The sequence below is a fragment of the Homo sapiens genome, chromosome 4, assembly GCF_000001405.40.
Source record: "Homo sapiens chromosome 4, GRCh38.p14 Primary Assembly".
NCBI lineage: Eukaryota > Metazoa > Chordata > Mammalia > Primates > Hominidae > Homo > Homo sapiens.
This window is the reverse complement of record NC_000004.12, coordinates 112,858,146-112,873,531: the sequence shown is the minus strand read 5'-3', so window position 1 is coordinate 112,873,531 and position 15,386 is coordinate 112,858,146. Positions and strand designations below refer to the sequence as shown.

General features: G+C 36.6%; 1 protein-coding gene across 43 annotated transcripts in view; it reads right to left on the bottom strand.

The window, feature by feature from the left end:
* ANK2 (ankyrin 2) overlaps window positions 1-15,386 on the bottom strand; it is a 678,115-nt gene that overhangs the window by 510,205 nt on the left and 152,524 nt on the right. For 7 of the 43 annotated variants that reach the window (NM_001354261.2, NM_001386156.1, NM_001354264.2 and 4 more), the window contains exon 1: window positions 12,397-12,545. The exons of the other annotated variants lie outside the window; for them this stretch is intronic. The gene's annotated coding sequence lies outside the window, so the exon portion shown is untranslated. Of the gene's footprint in view, window positions 1-12,396; window positions 12,546-15,386 lie in introns of those variants that run through there. 43 annotated transcript variants of the gene reach the window in all.

The window sequence follows — 15,386 nt, the reverse complement described above, 5'->3', positions numbered from 1 at the left end:
AGAAACCCATAACAGAAGGAAATTTGGAAAATTAAAAATAAGTGGAAATTAAACAAAATACTTCTAATAACCAATGGGTCAAAGAATAAGTCATAAGGGACATTACATAATATTTTGAGATAAAATGAAAATACGACATACTAAAACTTAAGAAATGCAGTGAAAGCAGGGGACACCTATAATGGTAAATGCCTATTTTATAAACAAAAAAAGATCTTAGGTCAATAACCTAACATTTCAACTTATAAAAATAGAAAAAGGAGAGCGACCTAAGCCCAAAGCAAGCAGAAGGAAGGAAATAATAAATATTAGGGCAGAAATAAACTAAATAGAGAATTTTCTTAAATCAACAAAACCAAAAGTTGATTATTTGAAAAAGTCAACAAATTAACAAAATTTTATTTTAGATCAATCAAGAAAAAAGAGAGAAAATTCAAATTACTCAAATTGGAAATGAAAGACTAAATATTACTACCAATCTCACAAGGCATAAAAATGGATTATAAGTAAACACTATGAACAACTGCATTCCAACAAATGAGATAACTCAGATTAAATAGAAAAATTCCTAGAAAGATACAATCAACCAAAATAATAAAAGAAGAAATAGAAAATCTGAATACATGCATAACAACTAAAGAAGTTGATTCAGTAATTAAAAAAAAAATTTTTTTCACAGAAAGAAAAGCCCATGACCAGATGGCTTCACTGGTAAATTCTGCCAAATGCTTAAATAAGATAAAACACCAATTCTTGAGAAACTCTCCCAAAAAATAGAAGAGGAGGGAACACTCCCAAACTCACTCTGTGATGTCTGTATCACCGATACTGAAAGCATAACAAAGAATTACAAGAAAATAAAACTAAAGAAGAATATCCCTTAAGAATACAGATGCACCAGGTGTGGTGGCTCATGCCTGTAATCCCAGCACTTTGGGAGGCCAAGGTGGGTGGATCACCTGAGGTTGGGGGTTCGAGACCAGCCTGACCAACATGGAGAAACCTCGTCTCTATTAAAAATACAAAATTAGCCAGGCGTGATGGCGCATGCCTGTAATCACAGCTACTCGGGAGGCTGAGGCGGGAGAATCGCTTGAACCCAGGAGGCAGAGGCTGTGGTGAGCCGAGATCATGCCATTGCACTCCAGCCTGGGCAACAAGAGCAAAACTCTGTCTCAAAAAAAAAAAAAATACAGATGCAAGACTGGACACGGTGGCTGACACCTATACTCTAAGCACTTTAGGAAGCCAAGGCAGGAGGATCGCTTGAGCCCAGGAGATTGAGACCAGCCTAGGCAACGTAGCAAGACCCAGTCTCTACAAAAGAAATTTAAAAATTAGCCGGGGCATGGTGGTGTCCACCTGTGGTCCCAGTTACTAAGGAAGCTAAGGCAGGAGGATCCCTTGAGCCCGGGAGGTCAAGGCTACAGTGAGCTACAATTGCACCTCTGCACTCCAGGCTGGGTAATAGAATGAGACCTCTGTCTCGAAAAAAAAAAAAAAAATACAGATGCAAAAACCCTCAATAAAATACTAGCAAACCAAATCCAGTAGTACATATAAAGGATTCTATATCACAACCGAGTGGAGTCTATCTCAGGAATACAAGGTCAGTTTATATACAGAAATCAATTAATGTAATATGCCATATCAACAGAATAAAAACAAAAACTACATAATCATCTCAACAGATACAGAAAGATATTTAACAAAATCTAACACCCTTTCTTAGTAAAAACATTCAATAAGCTAGGAATAGCAAGGAAATTCCTGAACTTGATAAAGAGCATCTATGGAAAACCCACAACTAACATCATACTTAATGGTGAAAGCCTGAACGTTTTCAAAAAAGAGAAAAGAAGGTCTGCTCTCACCACTACTTTTAAACTTTGTACTGGAGGCTCTAGCAATGGCAATTTGGCAAGAGAAAGAAATAAAAGGCATTCAGATTGGAAAAGAAGAAAGAAATCTATCTTTATTTGCAAATAACACAATTTTTTACAGAGAAAACTCTAAAGAATCCAACTTTAAAAAATAAAAACTAAGGCCAGGCGTGGTGGCTCATGCCTGTAATCTCAGCACTTTGGGAGGCCAAGGCAGGCGGATTGCCTGAGCTAAGGAAGTTCACGACCAGCCTGGGCAACATGGTGAAACCCCATCTCTACTAAAATACAAAAAATTATCTGGGCATAGCGGCGTGCGCCTATAGTCCCAGCCTCTTGGGAGGCTGAGGCAGGAGAATTGCTTGAACCCAGGAGACGGAGATTGCAGTGAGACGAGATGGTGCCACTGCACTCCAGCTTGAGCAACAGAGCAAGACTCCATCTCACAAAAAAAAAAAAACTAAAAGCTAATAAATTGAGCAAGTTTGCAGTATATAAGATCAATATACAAATATCAGTCCTATTCTTAAACACTTTGCAGTAAACAACCCAAAATGGAAATTAATAAAACTATTCCATTTGTGATAGCATCAAACGCAATCAAATATTTTTATTTGATTATTTTATTAAATATTTAAATTAGGAATAAATTTTAAAGAAGTACACTGAAAACTGCACAATACTGTTGAAAGAAATCAATGAGGACCTAAATAAATGGAAAGATAGTCCATGTTTATGTATTGGAAGACTTCATATTGTATTGGCAATACTACCCAAAGTGATCTACAAATTCAGTACACTATCAAAATTCCAGTGCCTCTTTTGCTGAAATGGACAAGCTGATCCTTAAAATTTACATAGAATTGTAAGGGACCTAGAATAGCTAAAATAATCTTGAAAAAGAAGAACAAAGAACAAGGTTGGAGAACCACACTTCCTGATTTCAAACTTACTACAGGACAGTGTGATACTACAGGCATGGATAAACATGTAGATAAGTGGAATAGTGTCCAGAAATAAACTCATGTGTCTATGGTCACTTGATTTTCAATAAAAAATTTCAAGAGCATTCACTGGGTAAATACAATCTTTCCAAGGAATAGTGTTGGGACAACTGAATATCCACATGCAAAAAAGTGAATTTGGATCCCTCCCTCATACCATATGGAAAATTAACTTAAAGTGGAAAATGAATCAAAGACCTAAATGTAATGACTAACACTATAAAACTCTTAAACAAAAACGTAGGTATAACTTCATGGCCTGAACTAGGCAAGGGTTTCTTAGATATGACACCAAAGGTGCAAGCATTGTAGATGACTGCAGAATAATTTTTTATTATTAAAAAATAATATGGCCAGGTGAGGTGGCTCATGCCTGTAATCCCAGCACTTTGGGAGGCCGAAGTAGGCTGATCACTTGAGGTCAGGAGTTCAAGACCAGTCTGGCTAACATAGTGAAGCCCCATCTCTAAATACAAAAATTAGCCGGGTGTGGTGGCGGGCACCTGTAGTCCCAGCTACTAGGGAAGCTGAGGCAGGAGAATCATTTGAACCCAGGAGGTGGAGGTTGCAGTGAACCCAGAACTCGCCACTGCACTCCAGCCTGGGTGACAGAGCAAGACTCTGTCTCAAGAAAACAAACAAACAAACAAAAACAAACAAAATAATAATATGCCAGGTACAGTGGCTGTAATCCCAGCACTTCGGGAGGCCAAGGTGGGTGGATCACTTCAGTCCAGGAGTTCAAGATGAGCTCGCAAACATGTTGAAACCCTGTCTCTACTAAAAATACAAAAATTAGCCAGGCATGGTGGCACATGACTGTAGTCCCAGCTACTTAGGAGGCTGAGGCATGAGAATCACTTCAACTAAGGCGGCAGAAATTGCAGTGAGCAGAGATCACACCACTGCCCTCTTGCCTGTGTGATAGACTGAGAATCTGTCTCAAATAATAAAATAATAATCATAATAATCATAAGCACAAGCAACAAAAGAAAAATAAATACATTGGGCTTTGTTAATATTAAAAATTTGTATGTCAAAAGATACTATTAAGAAATTGAGAGCTAGGTGTGGTGGCTTAAGCCTGTAATCCCAATACTTTGGGAGACCAAGGCAGGTGGATCACTTGAGCTCAGGAGTTCAAGACCAGCCTGGGCAACATGGCAAAAACCCATCTCTACTAAAAATTCCCCTCAAATATTAGCCAGGTGTGGTGGCATGCACTTGTAGTCCCAGCAACTTGCGGGGCTGAGGTGGGAGGATCACTTGAGCCCAGGTGGTGGAGGTTGCAGTGAGCCAAGACCATGCCACTGCACTCCACCTTGGGTGACAGAGTGAGATCCTGTCAAAAAAGAAAGAAAGAAAGAAAGAAATTGAGCCCAAGTGTGGTGGCTCATGCCTGTAATCCCAGCAATTTGGGAGGCCAAGGCAGGAAGATCACTTAGGGCCAGGAGTTTGAGACCATTCTGGGCAACACAGTGAGACCTTGTCTCTACAAAAATAATAAAAAATTTTAAATTAGCTGGGCATGGTGGCACACACCTGTAGTTCCAGCTGCCCAGGGAACTAAGCGGGAGGGTTGCTTGAACCCAGAAATTGGAGACTGCAGTGAGCTATGATCTTGCCACTGCACTCCAGCCTAGGTGACAGAGTGAGACCCTGTCTCAAAAAAAAAGAATAAATAAAAGAAACTGAAAAGACAACTCTTAGAATGGGATAAAATATTTGTAAATCATATTTCTGATAAAGATTTAGTATCCATAATATATAAAAACTCATAATTCTATAATAAAAATACAAATAGTTTAACTTAAAAATGGGCAATATTGGATATGTTAATTAGCTTGATTTAACCATTTACAATGTATATATACATATCAAAACATCACATTATACACTGTAAATATATCTCATTTTCATTTTGTCAATTATACCCTAATTTTTTAAATGAAACAAATATAGAGTTAAAATAACAGTAAAATAAATAAATTTAAACAAATGAGGAACAAATTTGAATAGACATTGCTATGGTTTGAATATCTCCTCCAAAGCTTACATTGAAATTTAATTGCTATAATGATGGTATTCAGAAGTGAGACCATTAAGAGGTGATTAGGCCATGAGGGCTCTGCCCTCAGGAGCAGATTAATGTTTTTATCACTGGAGTGAATTCATTATTGTGAGAGTGGGTTGTTATAAAACTGAGTTTGGCTCATTTGCTCTCTGTCTGTCTCTTGCTCTCTCTCATGTACTCTCTTGCCCTTCCACCTTCCACCATAAGGTGATGAAGTTTGAAGGCCCCACCAGATGCTGACACTATGCTCTTAGACTTCCTAGTCTCTGGAACTATGTGCCAAATAAATTTCTGTTCATTATAAATACCCAGTGTGTGGTAGTCTGTTATAGCATTGCAATACAGACTAAGACAAACATTTATCCAAATAATACATAAAAATGACCTGACAAGCACATGAAAAAATGCTCAACATCATTTGTCATTAAAGAAATGCAAATCAAAAACATAATGATATATCACTTCACACAGAGAGGGTGGATAAAATCAAAATGTCAGATAATAACAAATGTTAGCGAGGATATGGAGAAATTAGAGCCCTCATATTATGCTGATGGAAATGTAAAATGGTATAGCCTCTTTGGAAAACAGTCTAGCAGTTCTTCAAATGGTAAAACATAGAGTTACTACATGACCCAGCAATTACACTCATAGGTATACATCCAAGAGAAATGAAAATGTTATGTCCACATGAAAATTTGTACACAAATATTTATAGTAACATTCTTCATAATAGTCAAAAAGTGGGAACAATCCAAATATCTGTCAACTAATAAATGAATAAACAAAATGTGCTATATTCAGTGGAATATTATTCAGCCACAAAAAGAAATGAAATAATAATACATGACAACATGGATAAATCTAGAAAACATTATGCCAAATGAAAAAAAAAAAACAGACTTAAAAGGCCATGTATTGTATGATTCGATTTCTATAAAATGCTCAGAATAAGCAAATCCATAGAAGCAAAGAGTATATTAATGATTGCCAGGGATGAGGGAGTAGGGGGGAAAGGGGAGTTACTGCTAACAGAGTTTCTTTTTAGCATGATGAAAATCATAATAGATAGTAATGGTGGTTGTACAACTCTGTGAATACAGTAAAAACCACTGAATTATACACTTTAAAGTGGTGAATTTTATTATATGTGTATTATATCTCAATTTAAAAAAAACAAAACCTATACAAAAATCATAATACTAAAAGAATAGGAGGAAAAAACATAAGGCATAAATGACAAGTGAAGAGTATTCACCAGAAAAATGCTACCAGAGAACAGACAAAAATCTGATCAAACATCTTAATATAATTCTTTTAAAAGTTTAAAAAGCAATAGCCTTTATAAAATAAGAGCACAAGGTAGAAAAACAAGTGTTTAGGGAAGATAAGAAAATACTTTCAATGCAGATAAAACATAGGCAGGTAGAGTTCAAGGAAAAAAAAATGTAAGACCTCAAAAAAAAAGGTAATTATGAAAGCAGAAAGAATTGCCTTACAGACAATACATAATAACTTTTAAAGTGTATTCAAGAAGAAACTAGAAACAGAGCACTGCATGAGTCTAGGAAATAGACCTATAGAAATACAAATAATTTTTGATTACATGAAAAGTAAATGTGAAGTAATTTTGGAAACTTAGATTTATCTGTAATTTATATTAAAAGATTTGATACAAGGAAATAACTAGTCGGACACAGAGTAAGACTAATACATCACCACAAAAGATTATCAGTAGACAATGCGGAATTATGAGAGAAAAGGAAAAAAAGAATCCGAGCAGGACCAACACAGAGTTTTTCTTCAGTCATAAATCACTTCTAAGAAAAAATTTAAAATTCACATCAGTAGCATTGCAAAATACTACCTTTAAAAAAAAATAACACGAGAAAAAACATACAAAAAGTTTATACCAATGTTAACATTGATTAATTAACTTTTCATTTCTGGGTAGTTACATGATTAGTAAACTGTATTATCTTCATTTTGCTTATTTGTGGTTTGTTAATGTTTTATCATTTTTCTGCAATAACCAAGTCTCACAATGAAAGAATAAAAAGGAACAATGCTGTCTTTTAGTTTGTTATGAAAATATAACTATGTTTAAGGTACCTGAAGAGTGCTCAACTTCATGTTATTTTTATTACATAGTGTGGGTTTAGTCACTCACTCACTTTATTGTCATTATATACTCTCACATAAGTGGTTCCTTCCCATATGTTGACTAAGGTCTTGGCCTCACTATAACCTCTACTGTGATCCAGATTTTGATGTTCTTACCTAGCAGTTGATAAGCAGCACCCATTGTATCATGTTGATTTAAGGATTTTTTTCTTGTCTAGGATTTGCAGGAGATAGGAGGACATAAATTACAGTCACAAAGTAGATGCCCAGTAACTGATAATTAAGAGTATTCTGTACTCCAAAAGATATTTTCCTTTGCTGCACTGTATGCTGCACCTCAGCCGAAAAGATAGCTATAGCTGCTGTGTGTTTAAGAAAAACAGTAGTGCTGACTCTTATTAAAACAGAATGCTGCATACATGTAGCACAGTGAGCCACCAAAGTGGTGAAGTAAGGCTGTGTGTGTGTGTGTGTAACAAATCTTTATTTCACACAAAACATTGTTTAAAAATTGAAACTCACATTGCTACAGAAAAAAACAGAGGACTTAATTTCTTTAAAACTTAGAGCAATGAATTTTTGGAATAAATACATAAAAAACCTAGTAGACCATCCTTACCAAAAATAGATCTTTATAAAGCTGCACAGAAATGTATGAAATTTATCCATCTTTAATTTTCAAGTATATATGGCTGGAGATAAATCTCAGGTATATAAGAATATTTACATTTTTCTAATGGTTATATAATTAGATTAGATACAGTAATTTCTATCAGCACATCTTTTATAAATTCTAACTGCAGCAAAATTTCATTCATGTGACTCACCATGTTCCCTACCTCCATACCTCCACACCACATGTTGTTTTCCCTAACTGTTTTGTAAGCAGTTTATTCATCTATTTTTCTGGATAAAACTGGCAGTAAGTAGAGTGAGATTATTAAAATAAATCTTTTTTTATATGGCATAGTAATACTTTTCATATACTCAGAAATCTTTTTAAAAGAAGAAGTCTTTAAAACCTGAATAAACATTTTAAAACCATAAACATTATCATTGAGAATTTCTGCATTTGTGAGGTTGGTATTATATAAACCAAAATTCACTGTAATTATAATAACAGAGCTTTCAAAAAGTTATGTGATAAAATAAAAGGTGAGAAGGTGAATTTCTTTACTGCAGTTTTTAAAACTGCCGACATTAAGTTTCATGACTTGTACTAGAGAAGATGGTGATTTCTAATGCTAAACCAGAGTTTTCTCCATTACTTTGACAGCAGATGAAGTGCTCATACCATTGGGTAGATGAGAGTACACATAATCCACATGTTGCACTAATGCTATTTCTAAGACCAATGAATCTCTGGTTTCTACTCCTTTTTTTTTTTTTTTTTTTTTTTTTTTTTTTTTTTTTTTGAGATGGAGTCTCGCTCTGTCGCCCAGGCTGGAATGCAGTGGCGCGATCTCGGCTCACTGCAAGCTCCGCCTCCTGGGTTCACGCCATTCTCCTGCCTCAGCCTCCCAAGTAGCTGGAGCTACAGGCGCCCACCACCACGCCCAGCTAATTTTTTGTATTTTTAGTAGAGACGGGGTTTCAACGTGTTAGCCAGGATGGTCTCAATCTCCTGACCTCGTGATCCGCCCGCCTCGGCCTCCCAAAGTGCTAGTATTACAGGCTTGAGCCACCGCGCCCGGCTGGTTTCTACTCTTAACAGCCACTCAAAGTGCCATCATCATAGCACTTCGTTGCTTTTATATTATATCAAAACATAGTATGAGCTAATGAATCACCTTTGACCAAGTAAACGTTTTTTTAAAATACTTTAAAAATCCTTACCGGCCGGGCGCCGGGGCTGACGCCTGTAATCCCAGCACTTTGGGAGGCCGGGGTGGGCATATCGCCTGAGGTCGGTAGTTCGAGACCAGCCTGGTCAGCATGATGAAACCCCATCTCTACTAAACATACAAAAATTAGCTGGGCATGTTGGCAGACGCCTGTAATCCCAGCTACTCGGGAAGCTGAGGCAGAAGAATCGCTTGAACTTGGGAGGCGGAGATTGCATAGAGCTGAGATCATGCCATTGCACTCCAGCCTGGGCAACAGAGCGAGACTCCGTCTCAAAAAATAAAAATAAAAATCCTTACCATTTAGTGAAAATGTTACTAGTCTTTTCCAAAATGTCATAATGTCATAGTGATAAGAGATGGCACTGAGAATCAATGGAACAAACTCTTTTTTGAATGCTAAATGAATAAATTTTATTCATGCATTAACCAGAACCCTTATTTTGGTCTTTCCGTGTTATTTTGAACTGTTTTCTTCCTTCTACAAAAAATTTTTGGCTCTTCTCTATAACACCCTACCTAATCTCTTTATTCTTTCTGTGACCTCTACATTTAGACAATTTTTTGGTTGCATGTATTCCCACCCAAATGTAAGCCTCTCAGAAATTCCTGACTGTATCATCTTTTATCTCTTAGTAATTCTTTGAATAATAGTATTTTATCTTCTAATTTTTTACCTTCTTTAGTTCACAAACATTTCATTATTGTCCTCACAATACACAAAATGGAATTGACTGGTTAGTCATCACTACATCAAAAAAATAATAATAAAGACACTCTAGGCCGGGCGCGGTGGCTCACGCCTGTAATCCCAGCACTTTGGGAGGCCGAGGCGGGAGGATCACGAGGTCAGGAGATCGAGACTATCCTGGCTAACACGGTGCAACCCCGTCTCTACTAAAAATACAAAAAATTAGCCGGGCGTGGTGGCTGGCGCCTGCAGTCCCGGCTACTAGGGAGGCTGAGGCAGGAGAATGGCGTGAACCCGGGAGGCGGAGCTTGCAGTGAGCCGAGATCGCGCCACTGCACTCCAGCCTGGGTGACAGAGCGAGACTCCGTCTCAAAAAAAAAAAAAAAAAAAAAAAAAAGATACTCTAAAGTTAGATGTTTTCTACAAAATTATGTAAGAATTTCCAAAAACCAATATTTTGTAATTTTTTAAATAATGCTGAAATCTAATCTTTGAATTTATTGCATCTTACATCGAATTAGAAACTGACTTCTAAATTTAGGAGTAATACATAATTATTAAAATTTTTTAATAAGAATGTTTGAAAGATAAATAAATTACCAACATCTCTACTACCCATACATAGCCACTATTTCTCCTAGTCTTTTTCTCTATTGACTCTTCAGATTTTCATATTTATAATCACACCGACTATAACTTAAAATTAAATATCACACTGACTATAGTCACACTGACTATAACTTAAATTAAAATATCTTAGAAATCATTTTTTCAAAGAAAAAAATACAGCATGCTTGGGGGAAAGAAATAAGTTAGTTTCCTAATCCTTTGTTCTACACAGAAACATAAGCATAGCTTAGAATAAATTATAAAATGGCAAAGCATTTAATAGATTTCAAATACTTTACTTCATCACTAAGGGTGCACAACATATTTTATGGATAAAGACTGCATTTATAGGAAAATTCAAACTCTGGAGTTTCCTGAATCCTCTAGAATAAATGGCTTTCATTTCATTTTTTTTTTAAGAGAGAGAGTCTTGCTATGTTACCCAGGCTGGACTCAAACTCCTGCACTCCATCTCGCCTCATCCTCTCAAGTAGCCGAGAATACAGGTGCATGCACACCCAGCTTAATTTTTTTCATTTATACAAAAAACATTTATCTCATGCCTTAAAAATGTTTTCCAAATCAAAGATACGAAATAATTGCAAAAAAAATCTAAGAATACAATTATAAATTATAAAAGCACACATTTGAGTATTTAAATGACTAATTTTATTGCCATCTAATATGAAGAGAACACTTCTGAAAGGATTTGGATTCAAACCAGAGTCTATAAACTTTTTTTTCACTAGTTTCCTTTCTGTGCTTCTTTAAAAATCTCATAAAAACAACTAGAACTCTGGTATACAGCTGCCCTTGTTAACATTCCAAAAATTAAAGCTCTGATCTGCCTTGTTCAGGAACACTCTAGAAATAATGAAGTCCAGCCTTCACACAGAAGATTAACATGTCAAAAAGTGTAGCTTAGAACTGTTCTCGTGGGACAAACCATCTATATCTCTTTATCAAATCAAAGGGCAATAATTAGATGCTAAAAAATAATGAAATAAATTTACTTTAAGGAAAGATATTGTATCCTAAATCTGTCAAACACTACTGCACTAAAGCTCTTCCTTCCTATTTTTAAAATTGAATGCTCAGCAATTTAATACAGTAGTGGAGGTAATGGTGATCACTAACTTTTACTGGGCTCTCAGTACATGCTGGATACTTTCTTTAACATCCTTTATTTCCCTTTCATTTTCACAACCACCCTAGAGGTACTACTATCTTCACAATTTGTAGAAGAGGAAACTGAGGCAGAGAAGTTGAAGAACTTGCCCCAGGCACTCAGTCAGTATGGCACATTATAGATTTCAATCCATGAGCCAAGGTTTGGACTCGGTGCCATTTTTTGATGCTCCTAAAGAATAAGGAAAAGTCTTCTTAGTTAAGTTTTCCCACATAACTGTGACTCTCGCATAAACTGTGAGAGTTTCTCTCTCTCTCTCTCTCTCTCTCTCTCTGTCTCTATGTAGCCACATTTTTGTTGCTTGCCTGTTTGTTTTCAACAAAGAAGAATTAGTGCAATTCATATTTATTATAAAACATTGTCACACTGAAAGTGCCACATTTTAAAACATTACACCATGTAAGAGTTAGAAGCCCTTTCAGGTCCCTTGAGACACTAACTATGTCACTAAATTTTATTTAATACTCTCAATACTCCTGTAGATACCCTATTTTATATATAAGCTCAAGTAACTTGCTTCAAAGCAAAGAGCCACTTGGTGTACAGCTGAGATTTTACACAGCTGAGTTTTAAACCCACATGTTATTTACTCCAAAGTCTGTGTACTCAAGAAGGCTAAAGCATACTTATACTAGCACGCCTGTAGTAAGGAAGATATTTAGGACAAACTTCTAGTAGATCAGAGCAATTGCATTTTTAGTTTGAGTCTCAACGGAAAATATAGTTAGTCCGATACACATGGCTTCAGGAAGAATTCTGTATTCCTTAGAAAAGGATTCAGAAATCCTAAATTCCTAGGAATTCCAACCCAGGAAGTAGCCCATAAGCAATTTCAACCTTTCCTTTCTCTAATAAGATAAAAACCCAAGAGCTTGAGTGTAGCCCAGCTAATTAGGTCTTTGTAAAACAATAGCCCTTTTCTTTAAATCTGTGGCTTCTCACCCAGATGATAAAAAGCAATTTCGGTTCAAGACTTACTTAATTGGTTTGCACCCTCACAGGGACCTCCTGGGCTCCTCCTGCATATCCCCGCATCAGAGTGTAGAGACAATTCTTTGCCTCTCAGCAAAGCATAGTTCTTCTAAGATTTATGCATGGCTTTCATGTTCACCCACTGAATTAAATCTAAAAGCTTTGCTTCTTTTAGCTTTAACTACCTTCCCTGAGGAAAGCACAGCTTTGGAAACTTGTACATGTCAAAGGAAGTTTGTTTACCCTTAGAAAAGTCCAGCAAAATTAACAGTGAAGCAATTCTTTTGTACCCTTTGGCAGCTCCTATGGCTAAGGGCCCCAAATTACAATAGCCCCAGTCACCCAACCCTGAAAAGCAAGACTTACAACCAAAAAAAAAAGTAATATTAAAATCTTTCCACTTTAAAATGTTAACTTTTAATATATTCCACTGGTACTCATTAAACCCACTAACTAAGCAAGCCTCCAATTTTGCAAATATTTCTTTATTTTGTAAAATAAGACGGTGATACAAGTTTAGACCCAAAAATATTAGTAATTATTTTTTCCAACTGCTTCATTTTTCCAGATATTTAATTTAAAGCCTAGAGGGTTCAAGTGTCTTTCCCAGTTAGTAGCTGGGTGGGTTGCACTAAACAATCTTCTCAGTTTTTTTCTAGTGTTCAAAGGCCGGCGGATCATGAGGTCAGGAGTTCGAGACCAGCCTGACCAACATGGTGAAACCCCGTCTTCACTAAAAATACAAAAATTAGCCTGGCATGGTGGCGCGCACCTGTAATCCCATCTACTCAGGCGGCTGAGGCAGAAGAATCGCTTGAACCCGGGAGGCGGAGGTTGCAGTGAGCCAAGATCACACCACTGCACTCCAGCCTGGGCGACAGAGCAAGACTCCGTCTCAAAAAAGAAAAAAAAAGAATTTTTTTTAAAACTTCCAATAAAAACTTAGGTCCCATTAAATGGTAAATCTGGCTCCAAAGACTGTGTGGATGAGAAACTGACTAGAAAAGGAAGCACAGTAAATGGCACTTAATCAAATAAATGTTTTATTCTCAGTTACAGAACACTCTAATAATGACACAATGGTATGAATCCTCCTTTCACTAGAGCTATCAGATTTGCTGGTACATACCATCCAATTGACGCAACAACACCCCTTATTTAGTAGAGAATGGTCACTGTATTGCTGGCAGAGCAGTGATCAGCTAGTGTGTTCACATGAGTTAGAAAGCCAACAAACATCATGGAAACCAAGACAAGTTTAGTAAACAACTCAAACATCATCTTTCTATTATCGTTTTCCAGGTAATAAAGGTTATCAATTCAGGAAACAAATCTCTATGTGCTAACCCTCTTTAACAATCTAACCTGCAATCAGCCACATGAGAGGGGGCCCTAGACAGAAGCTGTGGCTTGGGTAAGCTGGTCACAGCTAAGTGACAAGGCAGGTGCCCCCATGCCTGCTGCACACAGACTTGCTCCTGAACAGAAGCTTTATTAAAGAGAATTCAGGAAGCAGAACTAAATTATCTGGCTTCTAGCCATATAAGCTGGCAACAAATAAAGAGATAATGGAGGGGTAAAAGCTTAGATACAGGACAGCTCTCCTCCCTGAGGGCTGGAGCCTTCCTGGACACAGGAGGCAGCAGCAGAGACCAGGTAGATCAGTAAAACATACACCTAACTGGGCTCAGCTCCTCTCACTCTTCCCAAATCCAGAAGGAGGTTTTGGAACCACGTAAGAATAGCAGGAATTTAAAAGACATAGTATTCTAATGTAAATATTGCAACAATCATAATTATCTTATGTAAAATACAATTAATTGAGAAAGTGCAACTAAGGAAAAGGCTAAGTTCTCTCTTTTGCTTTGCCCAGGAAGGGCCAAGTGACCGTTTAAACCTGTGCTAGACATATTATTCATCATTTACTCCCAAAGACCTCAGCATCATTAGGGGGGATGCTGTGGTTGGTTATATACACTGGTTTTAATCTACACCCTAAGGGCAGTTTAATCTCCTTTTGATGTAACCTTTTCTTGTGTCTGCCTCCGAGCGAGGTTTTCATGGAAAGTTCTAGGAAGAGTGCAGAGTGCCAAAGGATAAAGATTGAGGTAACCCCACAAACAAGTTCTATCATCCTTCTGAATTTCTTGCTAATAAATGTTTGTAGGTACAGAAGAACTTGGTCTGAAACCTTGCTTTCATTGTTTCATTGAGACTTGTTTCACAAAGGTTTTACGGGAGGAGACCCATGTCCCCAGGACATTAACCAATAAAAGCTACTAAGAATATTTTTCAAACAAATCCAACAGTTGTTGAATGGTCAAATAGCCTGGGCAAAAGGGGAAAAAAGAAAAAAGGATTACCTACCTACAATGTGAAGAGAAAGTCAAGAAAAGGGAAACTTTCCAGGTAGAAAATAAGATAGTTAAATAGTCTCTGACTGATCTTTGTCCTCAAAGATGTGACAGCAATAGTCCTAGACAGAATCATTTTGCCAAGTCCTAACTTTCCCTTTGTTTCAGTCAATGCATGAACTAAGAATGCGAAGAACAGAATCCTCCTGGGAAAATAAAGGACTTTGATATTATTTGCATTGCAACAACCAAATTGGTTCTAATAGATTAGACACAACTTTGGAAACCCAAGTTCAAATTTCTCTTCTCTCACTACAGATACCTTAACTCTCTGAACTATGGTTTTCTCACTCATCAATCAAAAAGTATTTAATAATATCTACCTTGCAAGGTTGATATAAGGGCTTATAAAGGTAACGTATAAAAAGCACCTTGAAGAATGCCTAGCACATAGTCTGTGCTCAAGATATAATAGTTCTATTTTTTACTAACCTTATTTTTGTGACTAAAAATATTGTCAGTAATATTATAATCAATTATGTTATTGTCAGTAATATTGTCACTTACTAGGAGTTTATACTCAAAAAAAAACTTCCTCTTTACAAAGGATACTAGAACTGATGAATCAGTGACACCTTTAAC